Raw genomic sequence first — 18,904 nt, forward strand, 5'->3', positions numbered from 1 at the left:
CTCAGATGGTGGAGCACAGGGGATGAGAGAAGGTGGAGAGGCCCTTGGTTGTGTCATGTTCCTGGACCTTGGCCAGTCCAGTGTGGCAAGCCTTCTGCTGCATGCTGTTGGGCAGCCTGGTGCCCTGGATGGGGAGAGAGAGGCTCTGGCATCACTAGCCCTGGCATCTGCTCCAGAATCCATCACTTTTTGGTTATGTGACTTGGGTTGATCCTTGAACCTCGATAAGCCTCCCTGGGACAATAATGCCTGGCTGTAGGGCTGCCATGGGGACAAAATGAGGTCCTGGTTGTTAAATTCCAAGTGGTTTCTGGCATACGGTAGGAGGATTTTTCTGCCCCTTTCCTCTGTGGAGCTGAGCACCAGTGGACAAACAGGCACACCTCTTTCATTTGATTATTAGTCTTAATCCTTAAATTTATAAAGTTCCTTTCATGTTTTTAAATCTCACTGAATTCTCACAGTGTCCCCTTGAAGCAGACTCTGGAGTCAGACTGGCTGGGTTCAAATCCTGCTTCACTTAGCTGAGTGACCTTGGGCAAATCACTTTCTCTTTCTGTGCCTCAGTTTCCTCATTTTTAAAACAGTGACAAGAATTTCTGGAGGTGGATATTGGTTTTATGGGGCCTGAAGGTTACGATTTGGAGGACCCTCTTTAAGAATAGAATACACACTCGGTTACGGTGGCTCACGCCTGTAATCACAGCACTTTGGGAAGTTGAGGTGGGAGGATCACTTGAGGCTTCAGGAGTTCAAGATCAGCCTGGTCAACACAGTGAGACCTCATCTCTACCAAAAAAAAAAAATTAGCCAGTGTGGTGGGGCATATCTGTAGTCCCAACTACTTGAGAGGCTGAGGCAAGAGGATGGTTTGAGCCCAGGACTTCAAGGCTACAGTGAGTTATGACTGTGTTACTGCCCTCCTGCCTTGCTCTAGACAGAGCAAGACTCTGTCTAAAAAAAAACGAAAAAACCCCACACACAAAACCTCCCCTTAGACCCTGAATATTTATATTTATTTGATCAATGTGGTCAATGGGAACCCTTTCAAGCTGGTGTCTGTGTCATTTTGGCCTGCTTCCATAATTCCTGGAACACTTGCTTTCTGGTATAGCAAGATATCAACTTTTCCAGCCCCTGGAATCAACCAATACTCCAAAGAGCTCTGATTTAATCTTTTAGTGGAAAATAATATTTAGAAAGCATGAAGTAGGCACTAGAATCATACTAAAAAACCAAGAACTGGCCGGGCACGGTGGCTCACACCTGTAATCTGGACTTTGGGGGCTGCAGTGGGTGAGCTGCTTGAGCCCAGGAGCTCAAGACCAGCTTGGAAACATGGTGAAACCCCATCTCTACAAAAAAATACAAAAATTAGCTAGGTAGGTAGTGCACACCTATAGTTCCAGCTACTCGAAAGACTAAGGTGGGAGGATTGCTTGAATCCAGGAGGGCAAGGCTGCAGTGAGCTGTGATCATGCCACTGCACTCTAGCCTGGGCAACAGAGTGAGACCCTGACTAAAAATAGATAAATAAATAAAAATCAGGCGTGGTGGCTCACGCCTGTAATCCCCAGCACTTTGGGAGACCAAGACAGGCAGATCACCTGAGGTCAGGAGTTCGAGACCAGCCTGGCCAACATGGTGAAATCTTGTTTCTTCTAAAAATACAAAAATGAGTCAGACATGGTGGCATGCCCCTGTAGTCCCAGCTACTAGAGAGGCTGAAGCGGGAGGATAGCTTGAACCTGGGAGGCAGAGGTTGCAGGGAGCCAAGATAGTGCCACTGCACTCCAGACTGGGCAACGGAGTGAGACCTTGTCTCAAAATAATAATAATAATAATAGGGCTGGATGTGGGGGTTCACACCTGTAATCCCAGCACTTTGGGAGGCCGAGGCGGATGGATCACCTGAGGTCAGGAGTTCGAGACCAGCCTGGCCAACATGGCAAAACTCCATCTCTACTAAACATACAAAAATCAGCTGGGTATGGTGGTGCACGCCTGTAGTCCCAGCTTTTCGGGAGGCTGAGGTAGGAGAATCGCTTGAACCCAGGAGGCAGAGGTTTCAGTGAGCTGAGATCATGCCACTGCAGCCTAGACTGGGTGAGACACAGTGAGACTCTTTCTAAAAATACTAATAATAAATAAAAATAAATAAATAAAAGAAACCACCTGGGCATGGTGGCTCACGCCTGTAATCTCAGCACTTTGGGAAGCTGAGGTGGCCGGATCACTTGAGGCCAGGAATTTGAGACCGGCCTGGCCAACATGGTAAAACTGTCTCTACTAAAAATACAAAAATTAGCCAGACATGGTGGTGCATACCTGTAATCCCAGCTACTTGGGAGGCTGAGGCAGGAGAATCGCTTGAACCTGGGAAGCGGAAGTTGCAGTGAGCCAAGATCCCACCACTGCACTCCAGCCTAGGCGACAAGAGTGAGACTGCGTCTCAAAAAAAAAAAAAAGAAGAAGAAACCAGAACTGTTCATTGTTATGAGGGTCACTACTCCCAGTCCTTCCTAGAGCTAATGAATGTGTACACACACACACACACACACACACACATTTACAATTATATTTATTTCTATAATTATACATACTAAACAACATGAATTCAGACTATCATCTCCAATTCCAAGCTCATATCATGGGGTTCATTCTAGTTTTTGCCCCTTGTGTATTTATACTTCCTGTCTTTCACACCGAGGAATCTGGTGTCCATTATTCTTGATTTATCTTTTTTTTTTTTTTTTGAGACAGGGTCATGCTGTATCCCCCAGCTGCTGGAGCGCAGTGGAGTGATCTTGACTCACTGCAACCTCTGCCTCAGGGTTCAAGTGATTCTTTTTTTTTTTTTTTTTTTTGAGACGGAGTCTCACTGTCACCCAGGCCCAGAGGCCCAATCTCGGCTCACTGCAACCTCCGCCTCCCAGGTTCAAACAATTCTCCTGCCTCAGCCTCCTGAGTAGCTGGGACTACAGGCGCCTGCCACCAAGCCCAGCTGATTTTTCGTATTTTTTAGTAGAGATGGGGTTTTACCATTTTGGCCAGGCTGGTCTCGAACTCCTGACCTCATGATCTGCCCGCCTTGGCCTCCCAAAGTGCTGAGATTACAGGCATGAGCCACCGCACCCAGCTTTTTTTTTTTTTTTTTTTGAGATGGAGTTTTGCTCTTCTTGCCCAGGCTGGCGTGCAATGGCACAATCTCGGCTCGCTACAACTTCCACCTCCCAGATTCAAGAGATTCTCCTGCCTCGGCCTCCCAAGTAGCTGGGATTACAGGTTCCCACCACTATGCCTGGCTAAGTTTTTGTATTTTTAGTAGAGATGGGGTTTCACCATGTTAGGCAGGCTGGTCTCGAACTCCCGACCTCAGGTGATCCACCTGCCTCAGCCTCCCAAAGTGATAAGATTACAGGCGTGAGCCACTGCACCCAGCCTAAGTGATTCTTCTACCTCAGCCTCCCGTGTAGCTGGGATTACAGGCGCACACCACCACACCCAACTAATCTTTGTATTTTTAGTAGAGATGGTGTTTCACCATGTTGGCCGGGCTGCTCTTGAACTCTGGGCCTCAAGTGATCCACTTGCCTCGGCCTCCTAAAGTGCTGGGATTACAGGCATGAAATACCACATCCAGCTACTTTTTTTTTTTTTCCTTTGTTTGAGACAGGGTCTGGCTTTGTCACCCACGCTGAAGTGCAGTGGCGTGATCACAGCTCACTGCAGCCTTGACCTCCCAGGCTCAAGTGATTCTCCCATCTCAGCCTTCTGAGTAGCTGGGATTACAGGCTCCCACTGCCATGCCCCGCTAATTTTTTTTTTTATACTTTGAGTTCTAGGGTACATGTGCACAACGTGCAGGTTTGTTACATATGTATACATGTGCCATGTTGGTGTGCTGCACCCATCAACTCGTTATTTAACTCCGCTAATTTTTAAATTGTTTTGTAGAGACAGGGTTTTGCTGTGTTGCTATGTTTTGCAAGTGTTGGGATTACAGGCATGAGCCTCCGCAGTCGGCCTGGATCTGCTTCTTGTTCCACACATAAACTTGTTTCTTTCACTGCTCACATACTTCCAGTTGTCCTGGGAATCATTTATATTGGGATAAGACTTCTGATCCTGTACAGCAAGGGTCATGAGGTACAGCAAATGGTAGGAATATTCCTGGAAGCCCTTTCCACACACCAGGACAGCTCACAATGACTTAACTATACACAAAAGTGACTGCCAGCCACCCAGCTATATCCCACCAAATCAATCCAAACTGAGTGTATTTCCAACTCAACTTCACCTTAGCTGGATCACCAAATCCTCATGGCATCTCTGATATCACCTGATTCAAGGGAAAGTGAGATAGAGTGGGAAGAAATAGTAGTCTTAACCAATTGCAATTTTAGAATTTTGCTTTTGCATGTTAAAAGAAAAAAAAATATGTATTTGACGCTATGAAGACATTGCTGGGGTTGCTCCCAGTGCCTAGGATGGGCCCGTGCAAGTGCAAGGCCCTGCCCTCAAGAGCCCTCAGTCTGAGGGAGAAGACACAGATCAACTCCAGGAATCTCTAATCTAAAGGGAGAAGTCTCTAGTCTGAAGTGGGGAACACGCAATTCCAACCAAAAGAGAAACCTAAAGGAAAAAAGGAAAGAAGAAGGCGTCAACTGTGTCAAATGCACCTGAGAAGTTGAGTAAGATAATAGTGGTTCATTGGCTTTGGCAATATGTAGCACTGTAACCATATCAGAGCCTTTAAAAAATAGACTAGAACAGGCCGGGCGCAGTGGCTCATGCCTGTAATCCTAGCGCGTTGCGAGGCCGAGGCAGGTGGATCACTTGAGGTCAGGAGTTTGAAACGAGCCTGGCCAACATGGTGAAAACCCCTCTACTAAAAATACAAAAAAAAATTAGTTAGGCGTAGTGGTGCCTGTAATCCCAGCTACTTGGGAGGCTGAGAATCACTTAAACCTGGGAGGCAGAGGTTGCAGTGAGCTGAGATCGTGTCACTGCACTCCAGCCTGGGCAACAGAGTGAGACTTGGTCTAAAAAAAAAAAGAAGAATAGATAGACTAGAATATACTGTAGAGAGATGGGAGGTGAGGGAGTAGAAAAACAAGCAAACAAGTTTGCTGCAAATGAGAGCTGAAAATTGGAGAGGTAGCAGCAGAAGAAAGTGGGGCCATGGAATAATAATATAAAAACAGGGCTGGGCATGGTGGCTCACACCTGTAATCCCAGCACTTTGAGAGGCTGAGGCAGGAGGAGTGCTTGAGACCAGGGTTTGAGACTTAGCCTGGGCAACACAGACTCCATCTCTACCAAAAAACAAAAAACAAAAAACAAAAAAAAAAAAACAGCAGGGCGTGGTGATGTGAGCCTGTAGTCCCAGCTACTCTGGAGGCTGAAGTGGGGAAGATGGCTTGAGTCCAGGAGTTCAAGGCTGCCGTAAGCCAAGATGGTGCCACTGCACTCCAGCTTGGGTGACAATGCAAGAACCCCATCTCTAAAAACAAACAAAAAGATATTAAAGCGTGTTTGTAAATTGAAGGGAAGAAGAAAGATATTTGTGATGCATAAGCTAAAAAAAGGGATAATTAACAGGGATAGAGTTCCTGAAAAGACTAAGATGATGAGATTCATTGCACAAGTGGAGGGATTAGCTTGGATGGCTGGGTCCTGTCCCCGCATTAACAGAAGTGAAGGTCAATTTCAGCACCTGTCATAATTTCCTGGGCCCAGTGCAAAATGAAAATGTGGGTCTCCTTATTCCAAAATTATTAAGAATTTCAAGACTATAACAGAAGGCCATGAAATCAAGCGTGGAGCCTTTCTAAGCCTGGGTGCTGTGCGACTGCAATTTGTACTCCCATGAAGCTGGCCCTAGTCAAGTACGCAGTGAGGTCGATGAGGAGGAGGCTGTCCTGTGGTAAGTCCCTTCTAGGATTGGAAGAGATGAGTAAGGCTACTTTCAGCTTCACTGCTCTACAAGCTGGGGGGGTCGCTAGCAAGGGAGAGGGGCAAAACTTGTCCCTTTTTAACTTCCAACCCTGCCAGATTTGAGTCCAGGGCTTTCTAGAAGTCTCCACGGCATCGGGTGACCATAGCAACTCATGCCAAACTCTCGGGCCCACGGCTCCGCCTACCGCTTCGTGGACGCGCTTGTTGATTGGCTCCGAATGTCGACCAATGGTCGGCGAAGCGGGTTGCTTGCCGCACGGTCAATGGCCGCAAACCGGGAGGAAGGCGGGAAGAGAGGAGGTGGAGGCGGGCCTGGGCAGCCGCGCGCGTGCGTGTTTCCGGCTCCGCTGCGGAAGGCGGACGACTAGAGTCGTTGGGCCCGGCGCGACCCGCAGGAGCGTAGAGAGCGCGGGACTAGAGTGCAGAGCTCCGGGACGTGGATCGGAGCCGGCGCGATGGGCGGAGAGCAGGAGGAGGAGCGGTTCGACGGCATGTTGCTGGCCATGGCTCAGCAGCACGAGGGCGGCGTGCAGGAGGTAACGGCCCGCGCGGCGTCGGCCCACCCGGCGGCCTTGGCCACGCTCCTTCCGCCCTTCTCTGCCTTCGAGGGCTGAGACCCACCCCAGCGGCTCGCGGGCTTCTGGGATGCCCCTACATTCTCACTGCGCCCAGCTTCCGGCCTGGCCACCCGCCAGCAGGTCTCACCCGGTTCGCATCAGTCCCGGGCCCCCGGCGCCCCTCAGTAGTAGCAAATTATCGCATCCCTGAGCTTAGGATCCCCCTTTAGTTTCACATATGCCCCCACCCCCGTTTCCACTTTGATGGCGGCTTCCAAGGAGCATCCCTTAGTAAGAACCGTCGCAAATATCGTGATTTGGATCCACCAAGGCTTGGGGCGAGCCGTCGAATGTGTGTGGTAGGGGAGCGGGCTGATGTTAGCACGTGGTCTTGTTAGGCCTTGAATGGGGGAATAGGAGGCCTGTGTTCACGATTAGTTTCCACCACCTACCAACTTGGAACCTTTACATCTCTCCAAGCCTGAGTTTCCTTATCTGTGAGACAGCTGCGAATACCGGTTTCCAGAGAGTAGTTAAGAACCGTAAGTTCTCAGTAATAAGGCTTTTTCATTCAACAAGTATTTGTCGTGTGATTGATGTGTGTCCCACACTCGACAATAAGGGCCAACTGTTACAGATTCTGGAGTTGGTTTTTTTGGAACAAACACAAAGTTAACGGTAGAAAAGTCTGTCAGGATCAGAACTCTCATTCTCAGAGCCAGAGAAGTGGCAAGGATTTGCCTAGATCATGCAACATGGTTCTCACCTAGACAGGTCAGTGTGCTTCCCAGAGTCCATGGCTGATTGTGTCTTACTGGAGGTAGGTTTCCATTGAACTTTCTATTCCTATGTAACCTAGGTGTCTGGTGACCAAGGACTTCTAAGCCCTTTGTGGTGGGGAGAGTGTTTCTCATTTGCAAGTGTGAAAAGCCTTCCTGTCTCCATTCCTCTAAACTGTTCGCACAAAACTGGATTTGGGAGCGAGTTCATTTTTGAGCAAATTGAAAAACTGTCTAGAAGCAAGAACGGAAACCATTGAGATATGTTCTAGCATCAGATTTAATCAGATTTAGACCCACTCTTGGGCAAATAAAGGGTTTGTGTGTGCTGACCTTGAGTCACCACTAGATTGTTTCATTCAGCAAGAATTTTACTGATTATGTACCTTTAGCCATATCTGGTGCCCAGCATTGCAGGTGGCAGACAGACTAAGCCATGGTTCATGGTTCCTATTTGTAAGGTGTTTACCCTCTGCCAGTGGGTCTCTTGCTCTGTGCCATACATTGCTAAAGGCCTCACCTCCTTGACCTCATGATCCTCACCAGGTCCCTAGAAATAGGTACTGCATCTTATTCCTGTTGTACAGAGTTAAGAAACTTCTGCAAAGTCAAAAGGTAATATATGTCCATCTGATACTCAAACCGTTGGCTACACTTGTACTCCAGCCAGAATTAATCCATCTTATCCTCCTTTGAAGTGGCTTCATTTGCTCTCCTCCTTCTTGCTTTGACCCGGTAACTTAGCCAGTGTCTTTTTTTTTGTTTAGACAAGAGTCTCTCACCCAGGCTGGAGTGCGGTGGCACGATCTTGGCTCACTGCAACCTCTGCTTCCCGGGTTCAAGTGATTCTCTGCCTCAGCCTCCCAAGTAGCTGGGATTACAGGTGCCCACCACCTGTAATCTAGCTAATTTTTGTGTTTTTAGTAGAGACGGGGTTTCACCATGTTGGCCAGGCTGGTCTTGAACTCCTGACCTCAAGTGACCCGCCCACCTGAGCCTCCTGAAGTACTGGGATTATAGGTGTGAGCCAGTGTCTTGATGGGCTTTTTACTTTCTGGAGAGGAAAGCTGGGCCCAGGCTTTTCATGCCCTGGATGCAGAGGAGTGTTCCATACGCTTAGGCTGCTTCTAGCATCACAAGGAAAGTGAAAGGCGCACACACACACAGGATATGAGAAATCTGCTTCATGGTGGAAGTGACTAAGAGAACCTGCTGGGGAGATAATCTCCTCAGTTGGGAAGCTCAGAGGAAAAATAGTCAAGTCCCAAGTTCCCTCCTAGACAAAACAAGTTGACTTGTGTGCAGTTGAAGGGCTCCCAAATGCAGCTCTACTACTTTAATCTTCTCCCCCTCTTTCAGCTTGTGAACACCTTCTTCAGCTTCCTTCGACGCAAAACAGACTTTTTCATTGGAGGAGAAGAAGGGATGGCAGAGAAGGTAAGTGTTGGAAACCACTGTCCTTTGGGCGGCTCTGTCTCTTCAGAAGAAAAGCTCACCTGGCCTTTCTTTGGCATAATAGTAACTTTCAGCAGAAGCGAAATGCCAAAGGTGAGGAATTGGGGAAGGGAAGGAAGCTGTCATTTCTTCAAGCTCCACTCCTTGCTCAGCCCTCTATCTACCTTATTTCCCATGACTTTTGCAGTTCTACAAGAGGGGCAGGTGTTAACTATCCCCATTGAGGAAATTGGCTCAAGAGAATTTTGCACCTTATCCAAAGTCTTGAGCTGAGCTGTGGGAGAACCAGGGTTGAAACCAGTCTGTTGTAAACCTGTCCTCTGCCCCGACACAGTGCCTCTCAGTTCCTTTTCCAATGAGGAGGTTTTATTTATTTATTTATTTTCTGAGACAGAGTCTTGCTTTGTCACCCAAGCTGAAGCGCAGTGGCGCAATGTCGGCTCACTGCAACTTTCGCCTCCTGGGTTCAAGCAATTCTCCTGCCTCAGCCTCCTGAGTAAGTGGGATTACAGGCGCCCGCCACCACACCTGGCTAATTTTTGTATTTTGATAGAGACGAGGTTTCATCATATTGGCCAGGCTGGTCTCGAACTCCTGACCTCATGATCCACCCGCCTCGGCCTCCCAAAGTGCTGGGATTACAGGTATAAGCCACTGTGCCTGGCCAGGAGGTTTTATTTTTACTTTTATTTATTTTATTTTATTTTATTTTTTGAAATGGAGTCTCATTCTGTTGCGCAGGCTGGAGTGCAGTGGCATAATCTAGGCTCACTGCAACCTCCGCCTCCTGGGTTTAAGTGATTCTTGTGCCTCAGCCTCCCAAGTAGCTGGGATTACAGGCAGGCGCCACCATGCCTGGCTAATTTTTGTATTTTTAGTAGAGATGAGGTTTCACCATGTTGGCCAGGCTGGTCTCGAACCCCTGACCTCAAGTGATCCACCCACCTCGGCCTCCTAAAGCGCTGGGAGTACAGGTGTGAGCCACTGCACCCGGCCTGAGGAGGTTTTAACTAATAACCTAGGAGATGAGACTGGGCAAATATTAGAAACTGATGCTTAGAAATAAATTTAGAAGGCCGGGCGCGGTGGCTCACGCCTGTAATCCCAGCACTTTGGGAGGCCGAGGCTGGCGGATCACGAGGTCAGGAGATCGAGACCATGCTGGCTAACACGGTGAAACCCCGTCTCTACTAAAAACACAAAAAATTAGCCAGGCGAGGTGGCGGGCGCCTGTAGTCCCGGCTACTCTGGAGGCTGAGGCAGGAGAATGGCGTGAACCCCGGGGGGCGGAGCTTGCAGTGAGCCGAGATCGCGCCATTGCACTCCAGCCTGGGCAACAGTGAGACTCCGTCTCAAAAAAAAAAAAAAAAAAAAAAGAAATAAATTTAGAAATACTCAGAGGCATGTCTTCCCAGATGCTGTGACTCAGAGTTTAAGGATTTCTGTTTTGTAGTATTGATTCTGAGACCTTGAACTTCTTTCTGATTCCTTAAAGTTGTAATTATACTTTTGAAAATTGTTATATCATGAGGAATTTTTTTTTTTTTTTTTTTTTGAGACAGAGTTTCACTCTGTTGCCCAGGCTGCAGTGCAATGGCACGATCTCAGCTCACCACAACCTCCGCCTTGCGAGTTCAAGCAATTCTCCTGCCTCAGCCTCCTGAGTAGCTGGGATTACAGGCATGCACCACCACGCCTGGATAATATTTGTATTTTTAGTAGAGATGGGGTTTCACCATGTTGGCCAGGCTGGTCTTGAACTCCCAACCTCAGGTGATCTGCCTGCCTTGGCCTCCCGAAGTGCTGGGATTACAGGTGTGAGCCACCATGCCCAGCCTTTTTTTTTTTTGAGACGGAGTCCCGCTCTTTTTATCCAGGCTGGAGTGCAATGGTGCGATCTTGGCTCACTGCAATGTCTGCCTCTTGGGTTCAAGCAATTATTGTGCTCAGCCTCCTGAGTAGCTGAGATTACAGGCGTGAGCCACCACGCCCGGCGCCATTATCTTTATAATAGACATAAACAAGAGACATAATAAGAAGGAGACGTAGACGTTCTTTGCAAACCGTTTTCTGTGGCTTCAGGATTCTAACAAGTTGGTAAACTCTTTAATGTGTCCTGAATGTCTGAGGCCACTCTGTCATAGACACATTACCTAAGAGTAGGAGTCCCAGGTTCTTGGTCTAGCTTTGTCACCTAGTCGAGTTCCCAGCAATGCTCTGGTTCTTTCCATCTTTACATCTGTAAAATGGGAGAAAGTAGACCCCTTCTAGCTCAGATATTTTTTCTGTATTGTCACTAACACCTCTGGCCTTTCTGTGGGTCAGACTACCTGTAAAACCTCATGCCGCAAACTTACAAAAAAATACAAAAGCACTTTTAGTTTTTATAGCTTTTGGGACTAGTCATTTATTTTTTCTTTCTTTTTTTTTTTGACACGGAGTTTCATGCTTGTTGCCCAGTCTGGAGTGCAATGGCACGATCTCAGCCCACTGCAACTTCTGCCTCCCAGGTTGTAAGTGATTCTCCTGCCTCAGCCTCCTAAGTAGGTGGGATTACAGGCATGCACCACCATGCCTGGCTAATTTTGTATTTTTAGTAGAGACAGGTTTCACCATGTTGGTTAGGCTGTTCTCAAACTCCTGACCTCAGGTGATCCCCCAGCCTCAGCCTCCCAAAGTGCTGGGATTACAGGCGTGAGCCACTGCACCCGGCCTACTTTTTTCAATGAATGTTTATTGAACACTTAACACTTTGGATTATGTTAGGTGCTATATCAAACCTTTTGGGATTGCAGAGGTGAATACAGATTTGTTCTTTGTTTTCATGGATCTCACAGTGTAGCCAAAATAAAAAAAACAAGCAGTGAAAAAGTAGTGGGTGTTGGGGCAGAATCCCTGGGAACATAAAACTAACCTAGGTTGGGGGCTCAGAGAAGACTTTGTGAGGAAGTGACGCTTCAGATATGAAGGATGAATAGCTGTAAGAAGGGAGAGAGATGAACCGTGTGTGTGTGTGTCAGGGTCTTGCTCTGTTGTCCCAGCTGGAGCACAGTGGCTGTAAGAAGGGAGAGAGATGAACCGTGTGTGTGTGTGTGTGTGTGTGTGTGTGTGTGTGTGTGTCAGGGTCTTGCTCTGTTGTCCCAGCTGGAGCACAGTGGCGTGATCCAGCCGCCTTAGCCTCCCAAAGTGCTGGGACTACCTAATTTTTCTTTTTCTTTTTTTTTTTTTTTTGAGACGGAGTCTTGCTCTATGACCTAGGCAGGAGAGCAGTGGAGCGATCTCAGCTCACTGCAATCCCCGCCTCCCAGGTTCAAGCGATTCTTCTGCCTCAGCCTCCTGAGTAGCTGGGATTACAGGCGCCCGCCCCTATGCCTGGCTAATTTTCGTATTTTTAGTAGAGCCGGGGTTTCACCATGTTGGTCAGGTTGGTCTCGAACTCCTGAGCTCGTGATCTGCCCGCTTCGGCCCCTCAAAGTGCTGGGATTACAGTCATGAGCCACTGCGCCCAGCCCCTAATTTTTCTTAACTGTAAGAGGGAGCAGTCCTTACCTTACAAGGATGTTACGAGGATTTAAAAAAAGGCAAAGACCACAATCCACTTCAGAATCCCTTGGGGCCACATGTGTTTTGGTATTTAAAATTATTTGGATTTCAGAAAGGCAATACAGTGCATATAATGTGCATTACATACAATAATCTAATCGCAGGCCAGGAGCTGCATCCTGCAACAAAACACATTAATATTTCTGCAGAAATATATATATCAATATACATACCAAGTAGAAGAAATGAAGACTGTAAATACCTCATGCCACGAACTTACAAAAAAATACAAAAGCACTTTTAGTTTTTATAGCTTTTGGGGCTAGGAATTGTAGACTTGAATACAGCCATAGTGATCTAATCAATATGGTATTGATAGAAGAAGAGAAAAATGGACCAGTGAAGCAGAATAGAGAATCCTGAAATAAAGTCTGGCATTTATGAGGATTTAATGTGTCTATTGTGGTAATTCAGTTCAGTAGGCAAAGCATGATTTAATAAGTCATGCTGCTACATGAATTTTTTTTGGTTAAAAAAACAAAATTTGCCATCTGTCATACTCTATAAAAATACCAATAATAAAAATCCTGTAAGGAAAACTAGGAAACTATAGTCTTATGTGGGGGAGACTTTTCAGCATTAGAAAACTGGAAGCTATAAAAGAAGAGATAGCTGTTTGCCTTTTCAGATGCTGAAACTTTGTAAATGGTAAAAGACATTTAAGTCAATTGAAGAACACCAGATTATGAGAAAATATGCAGTGCAGAGGAAAAATAACATTTAATTGTGAATTTCATATTTAGGAACTCATAAATAAAAATTAGCCAGGCCTTGTGGCACATGCCTTTAGTCCCAACCACTCAGGAGGCTGAGGTAGGAGGATTGCTTGAGCCTGGGAGGTTGAGGCTTCAGTGAGCCGTGATTGTGTCACTACGCTGCAGTCTTGGTGACAGAGCAGGACTTTGTTTCCAAAACAAAACCCACAATGAGATACTATTTCACATCTGTTAGGATGGCATCCGTTAAAAGATAAAACAAAATAACAAGTGTTGACAAAGATAGGGAGAAACTGGAACCCTTGTACACTGTGGTGGGAATGTCAAATGGTGCATCTGCTATGGAAAACGTTATGGCGGTTTCTCAGAAAGTTAAAGAATACAACTATCGTATGTTCTAGCAGTCATGCTTGTGGGTATATACCCAAAATAATCAGGAGGAGGATTTACTTGCACACCCATGTTCACAGCAGCCTTATTCATAACAGCCAAAAGGTGGAAGGAACCAAAGGCTCCATCAGCAGGTGAATGGATAAACAATGTGGTATAGACATACTCTGGGATGTTATTCTGCCTTAAAAGGGAAAGAAATCCTGTCCATTGCTACATGGATGTACCTTGGAGGACATCATGTTATATGAAATAAGCTGGTCACAAAAGGACAAATACAGTTGATCCTTTGTATCCGTGGGCTCTGCATCCATGAGCTTAACCAACCACTGATGGAAAATATTTGGAAAAAAAATTTTTTTTAAATGACAGTACAATAATAAAAAAATATGAATTAAGCCCGACGTGGTGACGCACACCTGTAATCCCAGCTACTTGGGTGGCTGAGATGGGAGGATGGCTTGAGCCCAGGAATTTGAGATCAGCCTGGGCAACATAGCAAGACCCCTTCTGAAAAAACAAAAAAAAAAAACAAATTAAAAAAATATAATCTAATTACTTACATCCGTAGCAGTTACATTGTATTAGGTATTAGGTAATCTAGGGATGATTGAGAGTATGCAGGAGGATGCATGTAGGTTATATGCAAATAAAATGCCATTTTATATAAGGGACTTGAGCATCCTCGGAAATTAGTGTTGGGGAGTGGTCCTGGAACAAATCTTCGTGGGTACGGTGGGACTACCCTATTGCATTCCACTTACATATAATTGAAGGCATATTTTTTGATGAGTAAATATTATGTGACTATCTAAAAGAAAAGTTACTGTTTAAAAACATAACTGTAGGGCCGGGCACAGTGGCTCATACCTGTAATCCCAGCACTTTGGGAAGCTGAGGTGGGTGGATCACCTGAGGTCAGGAGTTAGAGGCCAGCCTGGCCAATATGGTGAAACCCTGTCCCTACTAAAAATACAAAAATTAGCTGGGCATGGTGGTAGGCGCCTGTAATCCCAGCTACTCGGGAGGCTGAGGCAGGAGAATCACTTGAACCCAGGAGGCGGAGGTTTCAGTGAGTCGAGATCGCACCACTGCACTCTACCCTGGGCAACAAGAGTGAAACTCCGTCTCAAAAACAAAAACAACAACAACAGCCACAACAAATGTAACTGTAATGGTATACCTTCTCCAGAAAAGCATACCAATTCTTTAAATATTACCAGAGATCCACATCCAGTCAGGGTTCTGATTTCCCTCAATGCTCTCTTACTATTGTGTTTTGTTTTGTTTTGAGACAGGGTCTCGCTCTGCTGCCCAGCCTGGATGGTGTCCAGTAGTGCGATCATGATTCACTGCAGCCATGACCACTAGGCTCAGGCGGTCCTCTCACCTCAGCCTCCTGAGTAACTGGGAGTATAGGCGTGCCCCACCACACCCAGCTAATTTTTGTATTTTTTGTAGAGTGGGGGTTTCACCATCTTGCCCAAGCAGGTCTTGAATTTCTGATTCTGATCTCAAGCGACCTACCCGCCTTTGCGGCCGCCATTGTACCCAGCTCTTTTGTTTTTTAAAAAAATATGGGCTGAGATGGGGGGATCACTTGAGGCCAGGTGTTCAAGACCAGTCTGGTCCAACATAGAGCATATCTGTACAAAAAATAGAAAATCATAGCCAAGAGTGGTGGCACAAGCCTGTAGTCCCAGCTACTCTGCAGACCAAGGTGGGAGGATCTCTGGAGCCCAGGAGTTTGAGGCTGCAGTGACCCATGATAAACGGCACTGTAATCCATCCTGGGCAACAGAGCTAAACCCTGTCTCAAAAAAAAAAAAAAAAAAATAGTGGGCTGGGCACGGTGGCTCACACCTGTAATCCCAGCACTTTGGAAGGCCGAGGTGGGCAGATCACCTGAGGTCAGGAGTTTGAGACCAGCCTGGCCAAATGGTGAAACCTCGTCTCTACTAAAAATACAAAAATTAGCTGGGCATGGTGGCAGGGGCCTGTAATCCCAGCTACTCGAGAAGCTGAGGTGGGAGAATTGCTTGAACCTGGGAGACAGAGTTTGCAGTGAGCCGAGATCATGCCATTACACTCCAGCCTGGGCCACAGAGCGAGACTCTGTCTCAGAAAAAAAGTGTGGTAAAAAGCACATCATAAAATTTACCTTCTTAACCTTTGTTTTGTTTTTTGTTTGTTTGTTTGTTTGAGACGGAGTCTCGCTCTGTTGCCCAGCCTGGAGTGCAGTGGCGCCATCTTGGCTCACTGCAACCTCTGCCTCCCAGGTTCCAGCAGTTCTCCCACCTCAGCCTCCCGAGTAGCTGGGATTACAGGCGTGTGCCACCACGCCTGGCTAATTTTTGTATTTTTAGTAGAGATGGGGTTTTACCATGTTGGCCAGGCTGATCTCGAACTCCTGACCTCAGGTGATCTGCCTGCCTCAGCCTCCCAAAGTGCTGGGATTACAGGCATGAACCACTGCGCCTGGCCTTTTTTTTTTTTTTTTTTTTTTTGAGGTAGAGTCTCGCTTTTTCGCCCAGGTTGGAGTGCAGTGGCACCATTTCGGCTCACTGCAACCTGTGCCTCCTGGGTTCAAGAGATTTCTCGTACCGGTTGGGCACGGTGGCTCACACCTATAATCCCAGCACTTTGGGAGGCCGAGGTGGGCGGATCATGAGGTCAGGAGATCGAGACTATCCTGGCCAACGCGGTGAAACCCTGTCTCTACTAAAAATACAAAAATTAGCCGGGCATGGTGGCACTCTCCTATAATCCCAGCTACTCGGGAGGCTGAGGGAGGAGAATCGCTTGAACCCAGGAGTCAGAGGTTGCAGTGAGCCAAGATCGCCACTGCACTCCAGCCTGGCGACAGAACGAGACTCCATCTCAAAAAAAAAAAGAGATTTCTCCTGCCTCAGCCTCCCAAGTAGCTGGGACTACAGGTGCCCACCACCACGCCTGGCTAATTTTTGTATTTTTAGTAGAGACAGGGTTTCAGTAACATTGGCCAGGCTGGTCTCAAACTCTTGACCTTGTGATCCGCCCATCTTGGCCTCCTAAAATGTTGGGATTATAGGTGTGAGCCACCACGCTTGGCCCCTTTTTTTTTTTTTAATTTTTATTTAATTTATTTATTTATATTTCTGAGACAGAGTCTCACTCTGTCACCCACTGGAGTGCAGTGGCATGATCACTACTTACCTTGACCTCCCCAAGGCTCAGGTGATCCTCCCACTTTAACCCCTTAAGTAGCTTGGACTCCAGTGCCATCATGCCCAGCTAATTTTTCTTTTTCTTTTTTTTTTTTGAGACAGAGTATCGCTCTGTTGCCCAGGCTAGAGTATAGTGGTGTGACCTTGGCTCACTGCAACCTCTGCCTTCCGGGTTCAAGCGATTCTCCTGCCTCAGCCTCCTGAGTAGCTGGGATTACAGGTGCGCACAACCATGCCGGGCTAATTATTGTATTTTTACAATGTAGAGATGAAGTTTCACCATGTCAGTCAAACCTGTCTTGAACTCCTGACCGCATGATCCTCCTGCCTCGACTTCCCAAAGTGCTGGGATTACAGGTGTGAGCCACTGCGCCCGGCCCCCAGCTAATTTTTCTGTTTTTTTTGTAGAGATGAGGTTTTACCATGTTTCCCAGGCTGGTCTCTAACTCCAGGGCTCAAGTGATCTGCCTGACTCGGCCTCCCAAAGTTCTAGGATAACAGATGTGAGCCACTGTGCTGGCCCATGTTAACCATTTTTAAGTGTACAGTTCAGTAGTGTTAAGTGAACTTACACTAAGAAACATATTTGTAAGACCTCTTTGCATCTTAGGGAACTGAAACCCTGTACCCATTAAGCAACTTCGCTTTGTTCCCTCCCCTACCTCCTGGTAACTGCTGTTCTGTTTTCTGTGTAGGTTGACTACTGTAGATACTTCATATAAATGGAATCATACAATATGTATGTCTTTGTGACTGGCTTATTTCGTTTAATGTAATGTCCACAGATTTATCCACATTGTAGCATGTGACAGGATTTCCATCCCCTTTAAGGCTGAATAATATTCCATTATATGTATATATCACAATTTTTTTTTTTCTTTTTGAGACAAGTCTTGCTCTGTTTCTTGCCCACGCTGGAGTGCAGTGGCACGATCTTGGCTCACTGCAACCTCAGCCTCCCGAGTACCTGGGACTACAGGCACACGCCACCACGCCCGGCTAATTTTTGTATTTTTATTAGAGTCGGGGTTTTACCATATTGGTCAGGCTGGTCTTGAACTCCTGACTTCGTGATCTGCCTGGCTCGGCCTCCCAAAGAGCTGGGATTACAGGCTTGACCACCGCGCCCGGCCACAATTTTTTTTTTTAAATCTATTCTTCTGCTGATGGACTTTTGGGTTGCTTTCACCCCTTGGTTATTGTGCATAGTACTTTTGTGAACATAGGTGCACAAATCTTTTGAGATTCTATTTTCAATTCTTGCAGGTGTTACTCGGCAGTGTAATCTATTGGATCATATGGTAGTTTTTGTTTTTGTTTTTGTTTTTGTTTTAAGACAGTATTACTCTTGTTGCCCAGGCTGGAGTGCAATGATGCAATCTCGGCTCACTGCAACCTCTGCCTCCTGGGTTCAAGCGATTCTCCTGCCTCAGCTTCCTGAGTAGCTGGGATTACAGGCACCTGCCACCACACCTGGCTAATTTTTGTATTTCTATTAGAGACGGGGTTTCACCATGTTGGCCAGGTTGGTCTCAAACTCCTGACCTCAGGTGATCCACCCGCCTCGGCCTCCCAAAGTGCTGGGATTACAGGTTTGAGCCACTGCATCCAGCCAGTTTTTAGTTTTTTTAGGAAATGCCATGATCTTTTCCATAGCAGATGCACCATTTGACACTACCACTAATAGTACATGAGGATTCTGTATTAGTCTGTTCTCATGCTGCTATGAAGGAATACCCCAGACTGGGTAATTCATAAAGAAAAGAGGATTACGGCTGGGCACGGTGGCTCACGCCTGTAATCCCACCACTTTGGGTGGCCAAGGTGGGCAGATCACGAGGTCAGGAGATCAAGAACATCCTGGCCAACATGGTGAAACCCCAGCTCTCCTAAAAATACAAAAATTAGCTGGGTGTGGTGGCGTGTGCCTGTATTCCCAGCCACTTAGGAGGCTGAGGCAAGAGAATCGCTTAAACGTGGGAGGCAGAGGTTGCAGTGAGTCGAGATTGTGCTATGGCACTCCAGCCTGTCGAGAGAGCGAGACTCCGTCTCAAAGAAGAAAAAAAAGAGGTTTAATTGACTCAGAGTTCTGCATGACCGGGGAGGCCTCAGGAAACTTAAAATCATGGAAGAAGGCATTTCTTCACAGATTGGCAGGAGAGAGAATGAGTGCCAGCAGAAGAAATGCCAGACGCTAATAAAACCATCAGATCTTGTGAGAACTCACTCGTATCATG

The 18,904-nt window shown here is 46.8% G+C and overlaps 1 protein-coding gene across 5 annotated transcripts in view, besides 7 other annotated features; it reads left to right on the top strand.

Annotated features, from left to right (window-relative positions):
• Nucleotides 1-18,904, top strand: part of NUDC (nuclear distribution C, dynein complex regulator) — a 46,711-nt gene that overhangs the window by 15,272 nt on the left and 12,535 nt on the right. For 4 of the 5 annotated variants that reach the window (XM_047439143.1, XM_047439206.1, XM_024452486.2 and 1 more), the window contains one exon: nt 8,657-8,734. In XM_047439143.1, coding sequence (XP_047295099.1) covers nt 8,657-8,734 — 78 coding nt within the window. Of the gene's footprint in view, nt 1-6,310; nt 6,498-8,656; nt 8,735-18,904 lie in introns of those variants that run through there. The other variant, NM_006600.4, reaches the window with a different exon arrangement.
• Nucleotides 10-510: an enhancer, noted in NCBI's record as "H3K27ac hESC enhancer chr1:27241933-27242433 (GRCh37/hg19 assembly coordinates)". NCBI's record gives its function as "activates a minimal SCP1, AML or CMV promoter by ChIP-STARR-seq in primed H9 embryonic stem cells {active_cell/tissue: H9 hESC(primed)}" and the evidence as "EXISTENCE:reporter gene assay evidence [ECO:0000049][PMID:30033119]".
• Nucleotides 3,162-3,362: a silencer, noted in NCBI's record as "fragment chr1:27245085-27245285 (GRCh37/hg19 assembly coordinates)". NCBI's record gives its function as "represses an EF-1alpha promoter that drives an FKBP-Casp9 reporter gene in an ReSE screen in K562 erythroleukemia cells {active_cell/tissue: K562}" and the evidence as "EXISTENCE:reporter gene assay evidence [ECO:0000049][PMID:32094911]".
• Nucleotides 6,058-6,207: a silencer, noted in NCBI's record as "silent region_496". NCBI's record gives its function as "represses an Ori minimal core promoter by ATAC-STARR-seq in GM12878 lymphoblastoid cells {active_cell/tissue: GM12878}" and the evidence as "EXISTENCE:reporter gene assay evidence [ECO:0000049][PMID:35858748]".
• Nucleotides 6,338-6,457: an enhancer, noted in NCBI's record as "active region_531". NCBI's record gives its function as "activates an Ori minimal core promoter by ATAC-STARR-seq in GM12878 lymphoblastoid cells {active_cell/tissue: GM12878}" and the evidence as "EXISTENCE:reporter gene assay evidence [ECO:0000049][PMID:35858748]".
• Nucleotides 6,578-7,119: an enhancer, noted in NCBI's record as "H3K27ac hESC enhancer chr1:27248501-27249042 (GRCh37/hg19 assembly coordinates)". NCBI's record gives its function as "activates a minimal SCP1, AML or CMV promoter by ChIP-STARR-seq in primed H9 embryonic stem cells {active_cell/tissue: H9 hESC(primed)}" and the evidence as "EXISTENCE:reporter gene assay evidence [ECO:0000049][PMID:30033119]".
• Nucleotides 17,239-17,288: a silencer, noted in NCBI's record as "silent region_497". NCBI's record gives its function as "represses an Ori minimal core promoter by ATAC-STARR-seq in GM12878 lymphoblastoid cells {active_cell/tissue: GM12878}" and the evidence as "EXISTENCE:reporter gene assay evidence [ECO:0000049][PMID:35858748]".
• Nucleotides 17,379-17,428: a silencer, noted in NCBI's record as "silent region_498". NCBI's record gives its function as "represses an Ori minimal core promoter by ATAC-STARR-seq in GM12878 lymphoblastoid cells {active_cell/tissue: GM12878}" and the evidence as "EXISTENCE:reporter gene assay evidence [ECO:0000049][PMID:35858748]".

This window comes from Homo sapiens, chromosome 1 (genome assembly GCF_000001405.40).
Source record: "Homo sapiens chromosome 1, GRCh38.p14 Primary Assembly".
Classification (NCBI taxonomy): Eukaryota; Metazoa; Chordata; class Mammalia; order Primates; family Hominidae; genus Homo; species Homo sapiens.